General features: G+C 46.0%; 1 protein-coding gene across 12 annotated transcripts in view; it reads left to right on the top strand.

Moving 5' to 3' along the window:
• Window positions 1-14,512, top strand: part of PACC1 (proton activated chloride channel 1) — a 50,959-nt gene that overhangs the window by 2,431 nt on the left and 34,016 nt on the right. For all 12 annotated transcript variants that reach the window (NR_165303.1, XM_047424319.1, NM_001377479.1 and 9 more), the window contains one exon: window positions 1,935-2,031. Coding sequence is in view for 6 of the 12 variants with exons in the window: in NM_001377478.1 (NP_001364407.1) it covers window positions 1,935-2,031 (97 nt within the window). In the remaining 6 variants the exon portion in view is untranslated. The remainder of the gene's footprint in view (window positions 1-1,934; window positions 2,032-14,512) is intronic.

Raw genomic sequence — 14,512 nt, 5'->3', positions numbered from 1 at the left:
GGGATTTTTCCTTGGGGAGGGTGGGATATACTGAGAATTTGGCCAGGGGCAGGCAAGGAGGCAGGCTCATTATGGCTGTGGGTAGTCAGGAAGGGAACCTGGTGGGAGGGTGTTAGCACCTGGGTCAGGGTGAACCTGAGTGAGGCTTGAATCAGGGAACTTTGAGATTTCCCAGGACTAACATCCTCCTCTCCCTTTGGCCAGTGAGACCTCTTTATCTGTGCTCCTGCTAGTGGCTTATATCTCTTGGTGCCTTCACCAGCCTCCCTGCCCTTTCCCACTGGTTGCTTTTCTTTTCTTTCTTTTTTTTTTTTGAGACTGAGTTTCACTCTTGTCACTCAGACTGGAGTGCAATGGTGCGATCTCGGCTCACTACAACCTCCGCCTCCCGGGTTCAAGAGATTCTCCTGCTTCAACCTCCCAAGTAGCTGGGACTACAGGTGTGCGCTATTATGCCCGGCTAATTTTTGTATTTTTAGTAGAGATGGGGTTTCACCATGTTGACCAGGCAGGTCTCGAACTCCTGACCTCAGGCGATCCGCCCACCTCGGCCTCCCAAAGTGCTGGAATTACAGGCATGAGCCACCGTGTCAGGCCCCGCACCTGGCCTTTTCTTTTGTGCTTCGAGGGCTTTAAACTGGAGATTTTGCCTGATTCTAAGGGGCAGGAGTGGAGTCGTGGAGAGGGAGATAGAAGAATAGATTCGTAAGAGATGTTTTTCACTTGTCTCTTGGAGGTGAGTTTTTAATGAAAATGTCTAGAAACCTTAAAACCTTAAACACTGATGCTGTGAACCTGACAAAGTGCTTGGGAAAGCTGTCCCCTCTCCCTCCCAATTCAGGGATGGCTTCTCTTCTAAGCTCTGGTCTTGAGCTCTCTTGCCCTCCTCCTTAATCCTACAGAGACTTGTTGATTATCATGGTATCCTTTCCGTCCTTCTTCCCTTCTCAGTGGTATAATTTTCCCCATTTGACAGGTGAGACCACTGGTGAAGTGAGGTTGAGGTTGCTGGCTACCAGGCTGCTGATTATAATCAGCACCTATCCCTGTGGTGGACTGCCTGCCCTTCCTGCTGTGTTCTGCCATTTGCAGCCCAAGTCAGTGGACTTCAGCCAGAGTGCCAGAGAGAGCTCTGACACCACCTTCACTGTTCCCTCTTTTCTCTCAGCAGACTCTAAGCCGTATTTCCTCTTCCTTTGGGAAGTGGTTAAGACTATGGGCTTTGGAACTAGACCAACTTGGATTTTACTCCTGCCATATCTTTCCCTGGCTTTATGGCCATGGAAAATATTGTGGGTTGAATTGTGTTTCCTTAAAAAAGATATGTTGAAGTCCTAACCCCAGGTACCTCAGATTGTGACCTTGTTTGGAAATGGGGTCATTGCAGGTGTAATTAGTGAAGATGAGGTCATACAGGAGTAGGGTGGGCCCCTAATCCAACATGGCTGGTGTCCTTCAAGACGATGACCATGTGAAGACACAGAGAGAGCACACCTTGTAAAGATGGCAGCGGAGAGTGGAGATTGGATGCCTCTACGAGCCAACGAACTCCAAGGATTGCTGGCTGTCACCAGAAGCCAGGAGAGAGGCATGGAACAGATTTCCTCACCACTCGTAGAAGAAGGAGCCAACCCTGCCAACACCTCAATTTCAGACTTCTAGCCTCCAGAACTGTGAGAGAAGACATTTCCGTTGTTTTAAGCTGTTCGGTTTGTGGTACTTGCTACAGTAGTCCTAGGAACACAGAGAGCAGAAAGTTTATTGAGCTTTCTGAGCTTCGGTGTCCTCATCTGTAAAATTGCTGTAACACACTCTATGTCATGTGGTTTTTGGTGACAATTAAGTGACAAGCAGCTTCTGCTTTCTTATTCTAGTGTAGAAAAGCAAGGCTGACATAGCTGACTTGTCTTTGCTCTCTTTGCTTCTCCCTTTAGCTGAGTGAGGAGTTGGTCCAGGTGGTTGAGAACTCAGAGCTGGCAGACGAGCAGGACAAGGAGACGGTCAGAGTCCAAGGTCCGGGTATCTTACCAGGTGAGTGCGTTTGGTGCTTTGCTGTGCTGTTGCTGCAGCTGGACACCCCAGTCTAGGCGCCTTGCCAACTGTGGGAGAGGAGGAGCCCCCTTCCCTGCACCCTGGTGTCAGGTCTCAAGTATTGCCCTAGTTTTAAAGCCATACATATTTAACCAGCCTTGGAACAGAGGATATGTCTAGGCTGGTATCTGCTCTTAACTCCAATTTGAGCCACTTCCTGAGGTCAGGTCATTGCATACAATGGCAAATGCTTTGGATCTCTGCTCTTCTGTTCCTCTTTCCCTGGAAACTGCTAGCAGGTGAGCCTCTAATATCCGGGTCAAAGAAGATCTAATAGGCCCCCTCTTTCAGATACTAGGCCTGTCCAGTAATGCTGCTCAGTTGGGTAAGCAGGGTCCCATCAGTCAGTTGGCATCTTATGGAGCCCTACGGCAATGTTTGACACTGCTGACTACTTCTTCCGCCCGGATACACGCTGCTCCCTTAGCTTCTGTGATGCAGCATTTCTCAGGCCACTCCTTCCAGGCTCCATTGCGGTCACTCTCCAGCTCTTGGGCATGAAATGTTGGTTGCAGGCCCCTTTCTCTCACTCTCATAGACAGTTCTACCCAGGCCTGCTCCCTTGCTTCAGCCACTGCTTGCTCACACGTGACTCCCATGTTTACATCTCTAGCCCAGAGGTTACCTACAAACCGCAAATTTATATATCCTGTATTTCCAACTGCCCATGTCATAGTTCTGCTTGGATCTCCCAAAGCTTCCCTCAACTCCACATGTCCAAAATTGACCTCATGATCATCTCAGTCCCAGCTTGGTCCTCTCCCAGTATTTCCTGTTTGCAGGAATGGTACTACCACTTAACGCAGTTGAACTTCAGAGTAGTTCTCCATTCCTTCCTTCCTCTCATCCCCTTTTTCTCTGGCCCTCAGCCATGCTGATCTTTTTTTATTTTAGGCCTCATTCCCTCTCACCACAGGGCCTTTTTGTTGTTTTATTTCTCTGCCTGGAATTCACTTTCCTTCTTCACATAGTTAATGCCTAATCATTCTTCAGCTTTCAGCTCACTCATTTTTTTCCACAGAGCCTTCTCTAACCTTCTGGCCAGATTACCTCCCACCCTCCAGCACCGTCTCATAGTCCACGCGCCTCTCCTTTCCGGCTATTGCTGTTGGAATGGTGCGTTTGTTTGTCTGACTAATGTCTGTCTGTTCTACTACAGCAGTCCCCAACTTTTTGGCACCAGGGACCGGTTTGTGGAAGACAATTTTTCCACAGATGGAGGTTGGGGGATGGTTTCAAGATGAAACTGTTCCACCTCAGATTATCAGACATAGTTAGATTTTCATAAGGAGCACACAACCTAGATCCCTTGTATGTGCAGCTTACAATAGGATTTGCACTCCTATGAGAATCTAATGCTGCAGCTGATCTGACAGGAGGTGGAGCTCAGGTGGTAATGCTCACTCACTGCTCACCTCCTACTGTATTGGCCCAGTTCCTAACAGGCCATGGACCCGTATTGGTCTGTGGCCTGGGGGTTGGGGACCCCTGTTCTACTAGAATGAAACTCCCTGAGGGCAGAGACCAGTCTGTTTTGCTCACCAGCCTAGCCTTGACCACGCCATAAAGATTTGTTGAGTGAATGAATGAAGCCCCAGCCTGACTTCAACTTCTTGGATGGATCCCATCTGTTTGTGGGAGAGGGGAACAAGACAGGAACTAATGTGGTTCTGCCTGCTCCTTACAGAAGACTGCATGGAAGGGACCGGGCACGGTGGCTCATGCCTGTAATGCCAGCACTTTGGGAGGCTGAGGCAGGTGGATCACCTGAGGTCAGGAGTTCAAGACCAGCCTGGCCAACATGGTGAAACCCTGTCTCTACTAAAAAATACAAAAATTAGCCAGGTGTGGTGGCACATGCCTGTAATCTCAGCTACTTGGGAGGCTGAGGCAGGAGAATCGCTTGAACCCAGGAGGCGGAGGTTACAGTGAGACGAGATCATGCCACTGCACTCTAGCCTGGGTGACAAGAGTGAGACTCTGCCTCAAAAAAAAAAATAAAATAAAGTAAAAAAAGACTGCCTGGAAGGAAGGAGGCTGGAAGGGCAGCTAACATTTCCTGACTGCTTCTCCTGTGCCAGGATCTGTCGTACCCCATTTGCCCCATTTAATTCTCACATCAACCCTGTGAAGTGGTTATCCCCCTTTTACAGATGAGGCCCCCAACCTCAGGGAGGTTGAGTAAAGCATGGGGAGGTCATATAGCTGGTAAACACAGACTGAGTCAAACTCTGCCCAACCCTAAACTCTCTCTACTACACCAGTGGTGTTTTCTTTTTTTTTTTTTTTTTGAGATGGAGTCTCACTCTGTCACCCAGGCTGGAGTGCAGTGGCACAGTCTCGGCTCATTGCAACCTCTGCCTCCCAGGTTCAAGTGATTCTCCTGCCTCAGCCTCCCAAGTAGCTGGGACTATAGGCGTGTGCCACCACACCCAGCTACTTTTTTATTTTTAGTAGAGATGGGGTTTCACCATGTTGGCCAGGCTGGTCTCAAACCCATGACCTCAGGTGATCCGCCCACTTCAGCCTCCCAAAGTGCTGGGATTACAGGCGTGGGCCACCGCACCTGGCCTACATCAGTGGTTTATAAAAACTATTTTAAGTGGTGGTAATCCCAACACTTTGGGAGGCCAAGATGGGAGGATCTCTTGAGGCCAGGAGTTTGAGACCAGCCTTAGCAATAAAATGAGATCCTGCCTCTACCAAACAGACAAAAACCAAAAACACTCACACAAAACAATAAGCATTCTTTTATTAAAGCCCAATATGTAAAAGATAGTAGCACGGCTAATCCTCCCTCTGACATGAGGCATTGCCTCTAAAGCCCTAAGGCTCCCGGGAGAACAACTTGAAAGACCTGTATATTAGTTTTCTATTGTTTCTATAACAAATTACCAAAAACTTAGTGGCCTAAAAAAACACAAATTTATTATCTTATAGTTCTGGAGGTCAGGAGTCCAAAATGGATCTCACTGGGCTAAAATTAAGCTGTCAGCAGGCCTGAATTCCTTTCTAGGGGCTTGAGGAGAGAACTTGGTCTTTGCCTTTTCTAGCTTCTGGAGGCCTCCTGCATTCCTTGGCTTGTGGCCCCTTCCTGCAGCTTCAAAACCAGCAGTGGCTCGTCGAGTCTTTCTCACATGACATCACTCTGATGCTGACTCTCCTGCCTCCCTTTTCTGTGTTTAAAGGGCCTTTGTGATCACATCGGGCCCACCCAGGTAACCCAGGATAATCTCCCTGCTTTAAAGTCAGCTGATTAGCAACCTTAGTCCCATTTGCTGCCCTAATTCCCCTTTTCCATGCAACTTGACATATTCACAGGTTCTAAGGATTAACACTTGGACATCTTTGGGAGCCTTTATTCTGCCTACCACACCTTGCACTACCCTCTTGCCCCCAACCAGAAGTGCATAGATGGAGGCAGGAGAAAGAAGAGGAGGGAGGCCAGACTTGGAAAGATGAGGCTTGTCTTTGTGTTTCCTTTCATAGAGAAGTGCCCAGGTAAATCAGGAGGTGGCCCTAATGTCCTTGGACCTTAGCAGCCTCTCTTTTGCCTCAGATTCCTGGGGCTGCAAAGCCTGGGGTCAATCAGAATAGGAAGCCAGGCCTCAGGCAGAGCAAATTTTGGGTAGTTCCATCAACTGGCAAGAGCATTCCCACTTGCTTTGGGGTAGCCTTCCCAGTTGCTTTGGGGGAACCAGATGAGCTGGGCTCATCTCCTTTCTAAATCACAGAAGATTCAGATCTCAGGAGTCCATTTGGCTGGGTCAGTAGTGAGTTGGCTCAAATTTGATGGACTGATACACAACTCTCAGAGCTCATTTCTTGCCTCTGACTCTTCTTTTTTTTTTGAGACAGTCTCCCTGTGTCAACTAGGCTGCAGTGCAGTGGCACGATCTTGGCTCACTGCAACCACCACCTCCTGAGTTCAAGCAGTCCTCATGCCTCAGCCTCTTGAGTAGCTGGATTATAGGCACTTGCAATCATTCCTGGCTAATTTTTGTATTTTTAGTAGAGACGAGGTTTTGCCATGTTGGCCAGGCTGGTCTTGAACTCCTAACCTCAAGTGATCCACCTGCCTCAGCTTCCCAAAGTGCTGGGATTACAGGCGTGAGCCACCATGCTTGGCCCCTTTGAGTCTTCTAATAATAATAATAAAAATAATGGTAATGGTGATAGTGGTTGCCATTTTGGGGGTGCTTTCATGTACTAGGCCTGTGTAGGGCTTTAGGGCTTTTTTTTTTTTTTTTTTTTTTTTTGTGGGGTGGGACCTTGCTTTGTGGACTGGGCTACAGTACAGTGGTGTGATCATGGCTCATTTCAGCCTCCCGAGTAGTTGAGACTACAGACATGCGCCACCATACCTGGCTAATTTTTAAATTATTTTTAGAGACAAGGTCATGCAGTGTTGCCCAGGCTGGTCTCAAACTCCTGGGCTCCAGTGATCCTCCTGCCTTGACCTCCCAAAGTGCTGGAATCACAGGTGCAAGCCATTGCTCTGAGCCTATAGGGCTTTTTATATACACTTTATCCTGTAATCTTCACAGCCACTCTGTGAGGTGAACGGTTAGTCCTAGTTTATAGATGAGGAACCCAAGGCACAGACGTTAAGGAATATGCTCAGAGCTCATGAGTGGCAGGGCTCAAATCCATACCCAGAGCTGTCTCGCAAGGTGTTCTGACTCTGGCTCAGTTGTTCCTAGATGAGAGCTTTCCTGCTCCAAATTCTCCCCTCCCTGTAGCAGATCAATTAAGGACTGCTTCACTTGTTATGCCAAGTGCTGACACCACAAAGAGGGTGAGTAAGTTCCTCCAGGAACTCAGGCATATAGAGACAGAAGGCCGGTTACCCAAGGAAGAACTTGTCCCTCCTTCTGAGCCTTCCTTGACTTCCCTGATGAGGTCCCTTTCTCCCTGTGATATGCTTTCCTTTGTAACAGTTAACACAGTTGATAGGTCACATTTATTGAGTTTAATTATTCAGTTAATTGTTATCCATCCCTTGGCACTGCCCTACAAGTTCTGTGAGGCACACAGATTTTGTCTTCTCCTCCTTTACTGTAACTCCAGTGCCTAGTGTGGAGTGTAGTATGGAAGTATGACTCCATAGAAGTATGAGTACTGTAGGTACTCAGTACCTATTTGTCCTCTGGGGGAGAGCAGTGGAGATTTAGAGCAAGAGAGCCTCTCATCTAGGAGCAACTGAGCTAACTGGAATGAATGAATGAGGGCCAAAGAAATGGTAGAGTCAGGTGCTTCAAAATTAATGAAGGGGCCTGGCGTGGTGGCTCACACCTGAAGGGGCTCACACTGTGGCTCATCCCAGCACTTTGGGAGGCCAAAGCGAGCAGATCATCTGAGGTCAGGAGTTCGAGACCAGCCTGGCCAGCGTGGTGAAACCCCATCTCTACTAAAAATACCAAAAAAACTAGCCGGGGCATGGTGGCAGATGCCTGTAATCCCAGCTACTCAGGAGGCTGAAGCAGGAGAATCACTTGAAGCCGGGAGGCGGAGGTTGCAATGAGCCGAGATTGTGCCACTGCACTCCAGACTGGGTGATAGAGCAAGATTCCATCTCAAAAAATAAAAATACAAATACAAAAATTAGCCAGGAATGATGCACGCCTGTAATCCCAGCTACTTGGAAAAAAAAAAAAAAAAGGAAGGAAGGCTGGCTGGTTTGAGAAAGTGGGACTACTCTGAAGGAAAGGTAACATGTAGGTGAAAAAGAAGGGGCTGGCTAGGGAAGGGAGATGACATGAGCAACTGTATAGAGATGGGAATAAAATAGGACATGTCAGAGATCATGAATAGCATGGTATGGTTGGGGCAGAGGGCTGGTGAGCAAAGTAGAGGGAGATGAGGTAGGAAAGATAGACTTGGTCAGATTATGGAGGGGTCTGAGTGTCAGGGTCTGTACATTATCTAGTAGGGAGCAGGGAGTATTTAAAAGGATTGGGGCTGGGTGCGGTGGCTCATGCCTGTGATCCCAGCACTTTGGGAGGCTGAGGTGGGTGGATCACGAGGTCAGGAGATCGACACCATCCTGGCTAACACGATGAAACCCCGTCTCTACTAAAAATACAAAAAATTAGCCAGGAGTGGTGGTGGGTACCTGTAGTCCCAGCTACTCGGGAGGCTGAGGCAGGAGAATGGCGTGAACCTGGGAGGCAGAGCTTGCAGTGAGCTGAGATCGCGCCACTGTACTCCAGCCTGGGCGACAGAGCGAGACTCTGTCTCAAAAAAATAAATAAATAAAAAATAAAAGGATTGGAACAGGACAGTAAGAGGAGTAAAGTGAGGATTCAGATGAATGTGGCTGGATTAAGGCAAAGGGAGACAACCATGCTGCGGCAAAGGCTGATGTGAGAGGGTGCTTTGCTGTAGCAGAGGGGGAGAAGGAAGAATCAAAGAGGATTCTTAATTTTGAAGCCAGGCAAACGGGAGAATGATACTACATAGAGATGGAGCCTAGAGAGGCAAATGGCTTAGAAAAGAAGATGGCCAGGTGTGGTGGCACGCCTGTAATCCCAGCACTTTGGGAGGCTGAGGCGGGTGAGTCACTTGAGGCCAGGAGTTCAAGACCAGCCTGGGCAATATGGCAAAACTCTGTCTCTACAAAAAACACAAAAATTAGTTGGGCATGATGGCATGCATCTGTAATCCCAGCTACTTGGGAGGCTGAGGTGGAAGAATCGCTTGAGCCCAGGAGGCGGAGGTTGCAGTGAGCTGAGATTGCACTGCTGCACACCAGCCTGGGCGACAGAGTGAGAGACCCTGTCTCAAAAAAGAAAAAAAACCTATTTGTTGTTGGCATACGGTCAGTTGAAGTCGAGATGGCCCAGAGGCAGTGACAGTTACAGGATGGACAGGAGAGAAGGGAGGGCTGGAGTTGTGCAACCTGGAGAAATCCCATGGGGGCAAGGTCACAGGGACAGATGGAAAATGAGCAGGGGGGCCATGAAGACTGAACCTCACAAACATCCCTGTTTGGGGGCCAAAAGAGGAGCTGGGGCTGGAAAAGGAGTTGAATGGAGGGCCTGGAGGTAGGAGCTGCAAGAAAGGAGGACAGTGTAGCAGAGATTCAAGTTAAGCACCCAAACGTGCAGGGTTGTAAATCAGTTTTATTCTCTGGAATACATAATTCCATACCATAATGCACTAAAAGCTTTAGTCTATTCATTTCCTGTCTATCAAGTGAATCAGAACCAATTAGTATTCTGTTCAAAGGGAGAAATGACATCAGACATGCTAATAGAATAAGCACTTTCTTACATCAGAGATGTAATCAAACTGAGGAAAACCCTTGGTTAATTAGTCATTACAATCAGTTCTCCATAGAAACAACTGTATATAATGGGATAGACAAAGAAAAAATTCATAGATTAGACCTTATCAAGATGAAAACCTTGGCTGGGCACGGTTGATCACGCCTGTAATTCCAGCACTTTGGGAGGTCGAGGTGGGTGGATCACCTAAGGTCAGGATTTTGAGACCAGCCTGACCAACATAGTGAAACTCCACCTCTACTAAAAATGCAAAGTTAGCCAGGCATGGTGGCTCATGCCTGTAATTCCAGCTACTCAGAAGGCTGAGGCAGGAGAATTGCTTGAACCTAGGAGGCGGAGGTTGTAGTGAGCCAAGATCGTGCTGTTGCACTCCAGCCTGGGTGACAGAGTGAGACTCCATTCCCGTCCCCCTCAAAAGAAGACCTTTTGTGTATCAAAGGACACTATCAAGAAAGTGAAAAGACAGCCCACAGAATGGGAAAAAGTATTTGCAAATCATACACCTGATAAGGGACTGGTATTTAGAATATATAAAGAACACCTACAATTCAACAATAAAGACAAATAACTCAGTTTAAAAATGGGCAAAGAATCTGAATAGACATTTTTCCAAAGAAGATATACAAATGACTAGTAAGCACATGAAATAATGCCAACATCATTAGTCATCAAGGAAATGCAACTCTAAATCACGATGAGATAGCACTTCACACCCACTAGGATGGTTATAATTTTTAAAAAGTGGATAATAAGTTTTGGCAAGGATGTAGAGAGATTGGAACCCCCATACGTTGCTGATAGGAATGTAAAATGGTGCAGCTGCTGTGGAAAATAGTCTGACAGTTCCTCAAAAGGTTAACTACAGAGTTACCATATGGGCCAGCAATTCCATTCCTAGGTGTATATTCGTGAGAAATGAAAACTTACGTCCACATGAAAACTTACATCTCCAAAAAATGTGTACATGAATATTCATAGCAGCTTTATTTGTAATAGTCAAAAAGTGGAAATAAGCCAAATGACTATCAACTGATGAATGGATAAGTAAAATGGTACATTCACACAATAGAATATTATTTGACAATAAAAGAATGAGGAACTGGCTGGGTGCGGTGGCTCATGCCTGTAGTCCCAGCACTTTGGGAGGCCAAGGCGGGTGGATCACTTGAGGTCAGGAGTTCAAGACCAGTCTGACCAACATGGTGCAACCCCGTCTCTAACAAAAATATGAAAAATTAGCCAGGTATGGTGGTGCACACCTGTAATCCCAGTTACTTGGGAGGCTGAGGCAGGAGAATCACTTGAACCCGGGAGGTGGAGGTTGCAGTGAGCCAAGATGGTGCCACTGCACTCCAGCCTGGGTGACAGAGGGAGACTCTGTCTCAAAAAAAAAAAAAAAAGGAACTGATGCATGCTGTAACTTGGATAAATTTTTTTTTTTTTTTTTTTTTTTGAGACAAGAGTCTCTGTTGCCCAGGCTGGAGTGCAGTGGCGCCGTCTCGGCTCATTGCAACCTCTGCCTCCTGGGTTCAAGTGATTCTCCTGCCTCAGCCTCTCGAGTGGCTGGGATTACAAGCATGTGCCACCACAACCAGCTACTTTTTGTATTTTTAGTAGAGACGAGGTTTTGCCATGTTGGCCAGGCTGTTCTCGAACTCCTGACCTCAGGTGATCCTCCCACCTCAGAGTCCCAAAGTGTTGGGATTACAGGTGTGAGCCACCGCGCCTAGCTGTATCTCGAAAACATAGTGAGAGAAGTCAGACACAGCCACATATATGATGCCCTTTATGTGAAATGTTCAGAACAGGCAAATCCATAGGGACAGAAATTAGATTAGTGGTTGCCAGGAAAGGGGAAGTAACCACTCTTGGGTATGGAGTTTCTTTTTGGGTAATGAAAATTTTCTGTAGATAGTGGTGGTGGTTATACATCTTGTGAATATACAAAAAACTGCTGAATATATTTACTTTAAAAGGGTAAATTGTATGGTATGTAAATTATATCTAAAAAAGAGAAACAAAATTGACCACACTAAACAGAAAAAAAAGGTAGGCAAAAAATTCAGAATGCCTCTTAGCCTAGTGCTCCCTGCAAGGTGGAGTTTCACAGGATTATGGCAGACAACCAAGCCCCCTTCCTCTAAATAGAGGTTCCATGATATTTTCAGTAACTGAATTGCCCATCACAGATCCCCTTAGTGGATGAACTTGCATTCTGGGGCAAGTTTGGGGTTTTGAAGGAATTCTGTCTTGAATTTTACAAAGCATATAAACTACCTTTCCCAGGAACATCTTGTGCATTATTTTTGTCTTCCTACTACCCTGAGTTTGCATTCATTTAAAGGATGATACTTTTAAAGCACATTCATCCAGTTTGCCACAAAAAGCCAGTGTTAGTTTTCTCACTACATAGTGCGTGGGACATTTTATCAAATAACCAGCACTGTTTTTTTTTTATGATAAAGTATAATGGTGTCTAGTTTTGGAATTGGAGTGTTACTTATAGCAAGTGTGGAGGATAAGTAAATAGTTTTACAGTTTTTATTTAGATCACACTCCTATTTGTGGATCAAGAAGAGGCCTGTAAAGAAGCTAAACTTGGCTTCTGTGAGTAAAACAGAAGAGAAGGCTTTTGGTCAATGTTCCCATGCAAGTAATTTGTTCCAAGTACCTCTCCCAGATGAATTGCAGTGATAGAATTGGCATGTGATCTTCTTGTTTTATGCCTATTTTTAGAATTTTCAGGAACATGTAGGGAGAACTTCATCTCTTTCCTTAACCAAGGCCATCATGAAGGCAAAACATTTCAAATCATGTTTATCTGGCTTAATGCAGAGTGGACACACCTGTCCACAGATGCCAGTCATCGTTCGTCTTTATTATATTGTTCAGCCTGGATGTAGTATAGAGTTTGTCTTAGAAGTTTTCTGGGCCAGGTGCAGTGGCTCATCCCTGTAATCCCAGCACTTTGGGAGGCTGAGGTGGGCAGATCACCTGAGGTCAGGAGTTTGAGACCAGCCTGGCTAACATGGTGAAAGCCCGTTTCTACTAAATATATAAAAAATTAGCCAGGTGTGGTGGCGCACACCTGTAATTCCAGCTACTTGGGAGGCTGAGGCAGGAGAATCACTGGACCCCAGGAGGCGGAGGTTGCGGTGAACCAAGATTGCACCATTGCACTCTAGCTTGGGCAACAAGAGTGAAACTCCGTCTCAAAAAAAAAAGTTTTCCAGGTCAGGTACAGTGGCTCACGCCTGTAATCCCAGCATTTTAGGAGGCCGAGGCGGGTGGATTGCTTGAGTACAGGAGTTCTAGACCAGCCTAGGTGACATGGTGAAACCCCATCTCTACAATAAATAACAAAAATTAGCTGGGCATGGTGGCATGTGCCTGTAGTCCCAGCTACTCAGGAGGCTGAGATGGGAGGATTGATTGAGCCTGGGAGGTGGAGGTTGCAGTGAGCCAAAAATCATGCCACTGCGCTCCAGCCTGAGTGACAGAGTGAGACCCCACTTGAGTCCAGGAGTTCAAGGCTGCAGTGAGCTATGATCACACCAGCGCACTCCAGCCTGAGTGACAGAGTGAGACCGTGTCTCTTAAAAAAAAAAAAAGTGTTTCAGACTTCTCTACTTGTTACGAAGTTATATTCTTTCAATTACATCTTTTATTATTAATGACTGTAATTGTAAAAATGCTCACAGTTGTGTAGGGAAAGAGCATTGGGCTAGGAGTCAGGACTCTTAAGACTCTCTCATTCTGATTGTGCCAGTTACTGGCTGTGGGATCTGGATTGTTGTACAAAGAGTAGAGTTAGGCCAGATGGCCTTTTAGGTCCCTGTCAACTCTTAAAAATTAGATTCAGATGTTATGCAACAAATCAGTCACTTCAGAGTTCCTTCAGTTTTATCTTGTGATCTTTTCAAACCCCGTTAGAATGTAGTAAGCTGGTACTCATTGCCACTGCAGTTATGAGCAGCTCATGACAGTGAATGTATTTTCACCCATCAGGTTTTGAAGGATACCCATGGTCCCATTTGGACCATGGGAGTTGGTTGTACCTTCCAAGCTAAATAGCTGTGGGTAGGTTCCTGTGCATAGATCCTGTGGCCCTGCAGCCCAGCTACAGCTGACTGCTCAGGGGTCAGCACCCAAGAAAGGGAAGCCATCTATAGGCTGGGCTTGAAGGAGGTCAGTGTCTTGTGAGGTATCTGGTGGAACACCCTATACAGGATACTTTCTCGGGGAGAATTTGAGTGCAAGACTCACGGAGAAGGACTTAGTAAAGTGGAGCAGGGTCAAGAGAGAAACATGGAGAGAAGGCAGATAGCAAAGCCATGAAGGAGCAGAAATTGACACAGTGTCTATTAGCAATAGGTAGAGGCAAAAGTGAAATCAAACACAAAAGAGGCTGAGATGAGAAAGAATTGCCTTAATTCCTTTTGGACAACTAGAGCTGCTGTGGACCTTGGTGGCTTAGCTCTCAGCTACCCATTGGGTTTCCCCAGTTCTCACTTATCCTCGTACCTGTAGAGTAAACCTCCACTGCCCACAGTAACCTGTTCCTTAAAACCTAAAGGGGCCTCACTGACAGTTCTGGAAATTTGCATTTCTGTGTAAAGTGAAAACCTTCTAAAGTATTTTGCCAAAAAACAGCAAGGAACATTCACTGGTTTATAGTTTTACATGCTTGATTGCACTAATATTCTCTGATGGATTGAGTTAGCATGGCAAGACTTAGTTCATCTATTATTTAGGTTATTTATTCATTCGACAAACATGGAAACATTACATTCCTACTATGTGAAAGATACTATATTCTGCCCTGCCTCCATTTTATTTTCAATGTATATCTTTTCAGATTTATTTTTCAAAAGAGATTATAGTTCTATGATCTTTATTTTTGCTATTTTCATAAATGAGCACTTCATTTTTTGAAGGGTAGAGGGTACATTCTGTTTCTTTGGTACCAGTAATTGTTACCATTGAGCAGGCACTGTGTAATGCATTTTGCAGCGTTCTGTCATCTGCTTCTCTCAAAAATCCTGTAAAATGGAAATGATTATTTTCTTTTTACATGAAAAATGTAAGGCTTTAGGAGCACTGAGTAACTTGTCTAGGATCATGGAGTAGTT

This window comes from Homo sapiens, chromosome 1 (assembly GCF_000001405.40).
Source record: "Homo sapiens chromosome 1, GRCh38.p14 Primary Assembly".
Lineage (NCBI taxonomy): Eukaryota > Metazoa > Chordata > Mammalia > Primates > Hominidae > Homo > Homo sapiens.
Note: the sequence above shows the minus strand (reverse complement) of the source record. Positions and strands in the feature narration are given on the sequence as shown.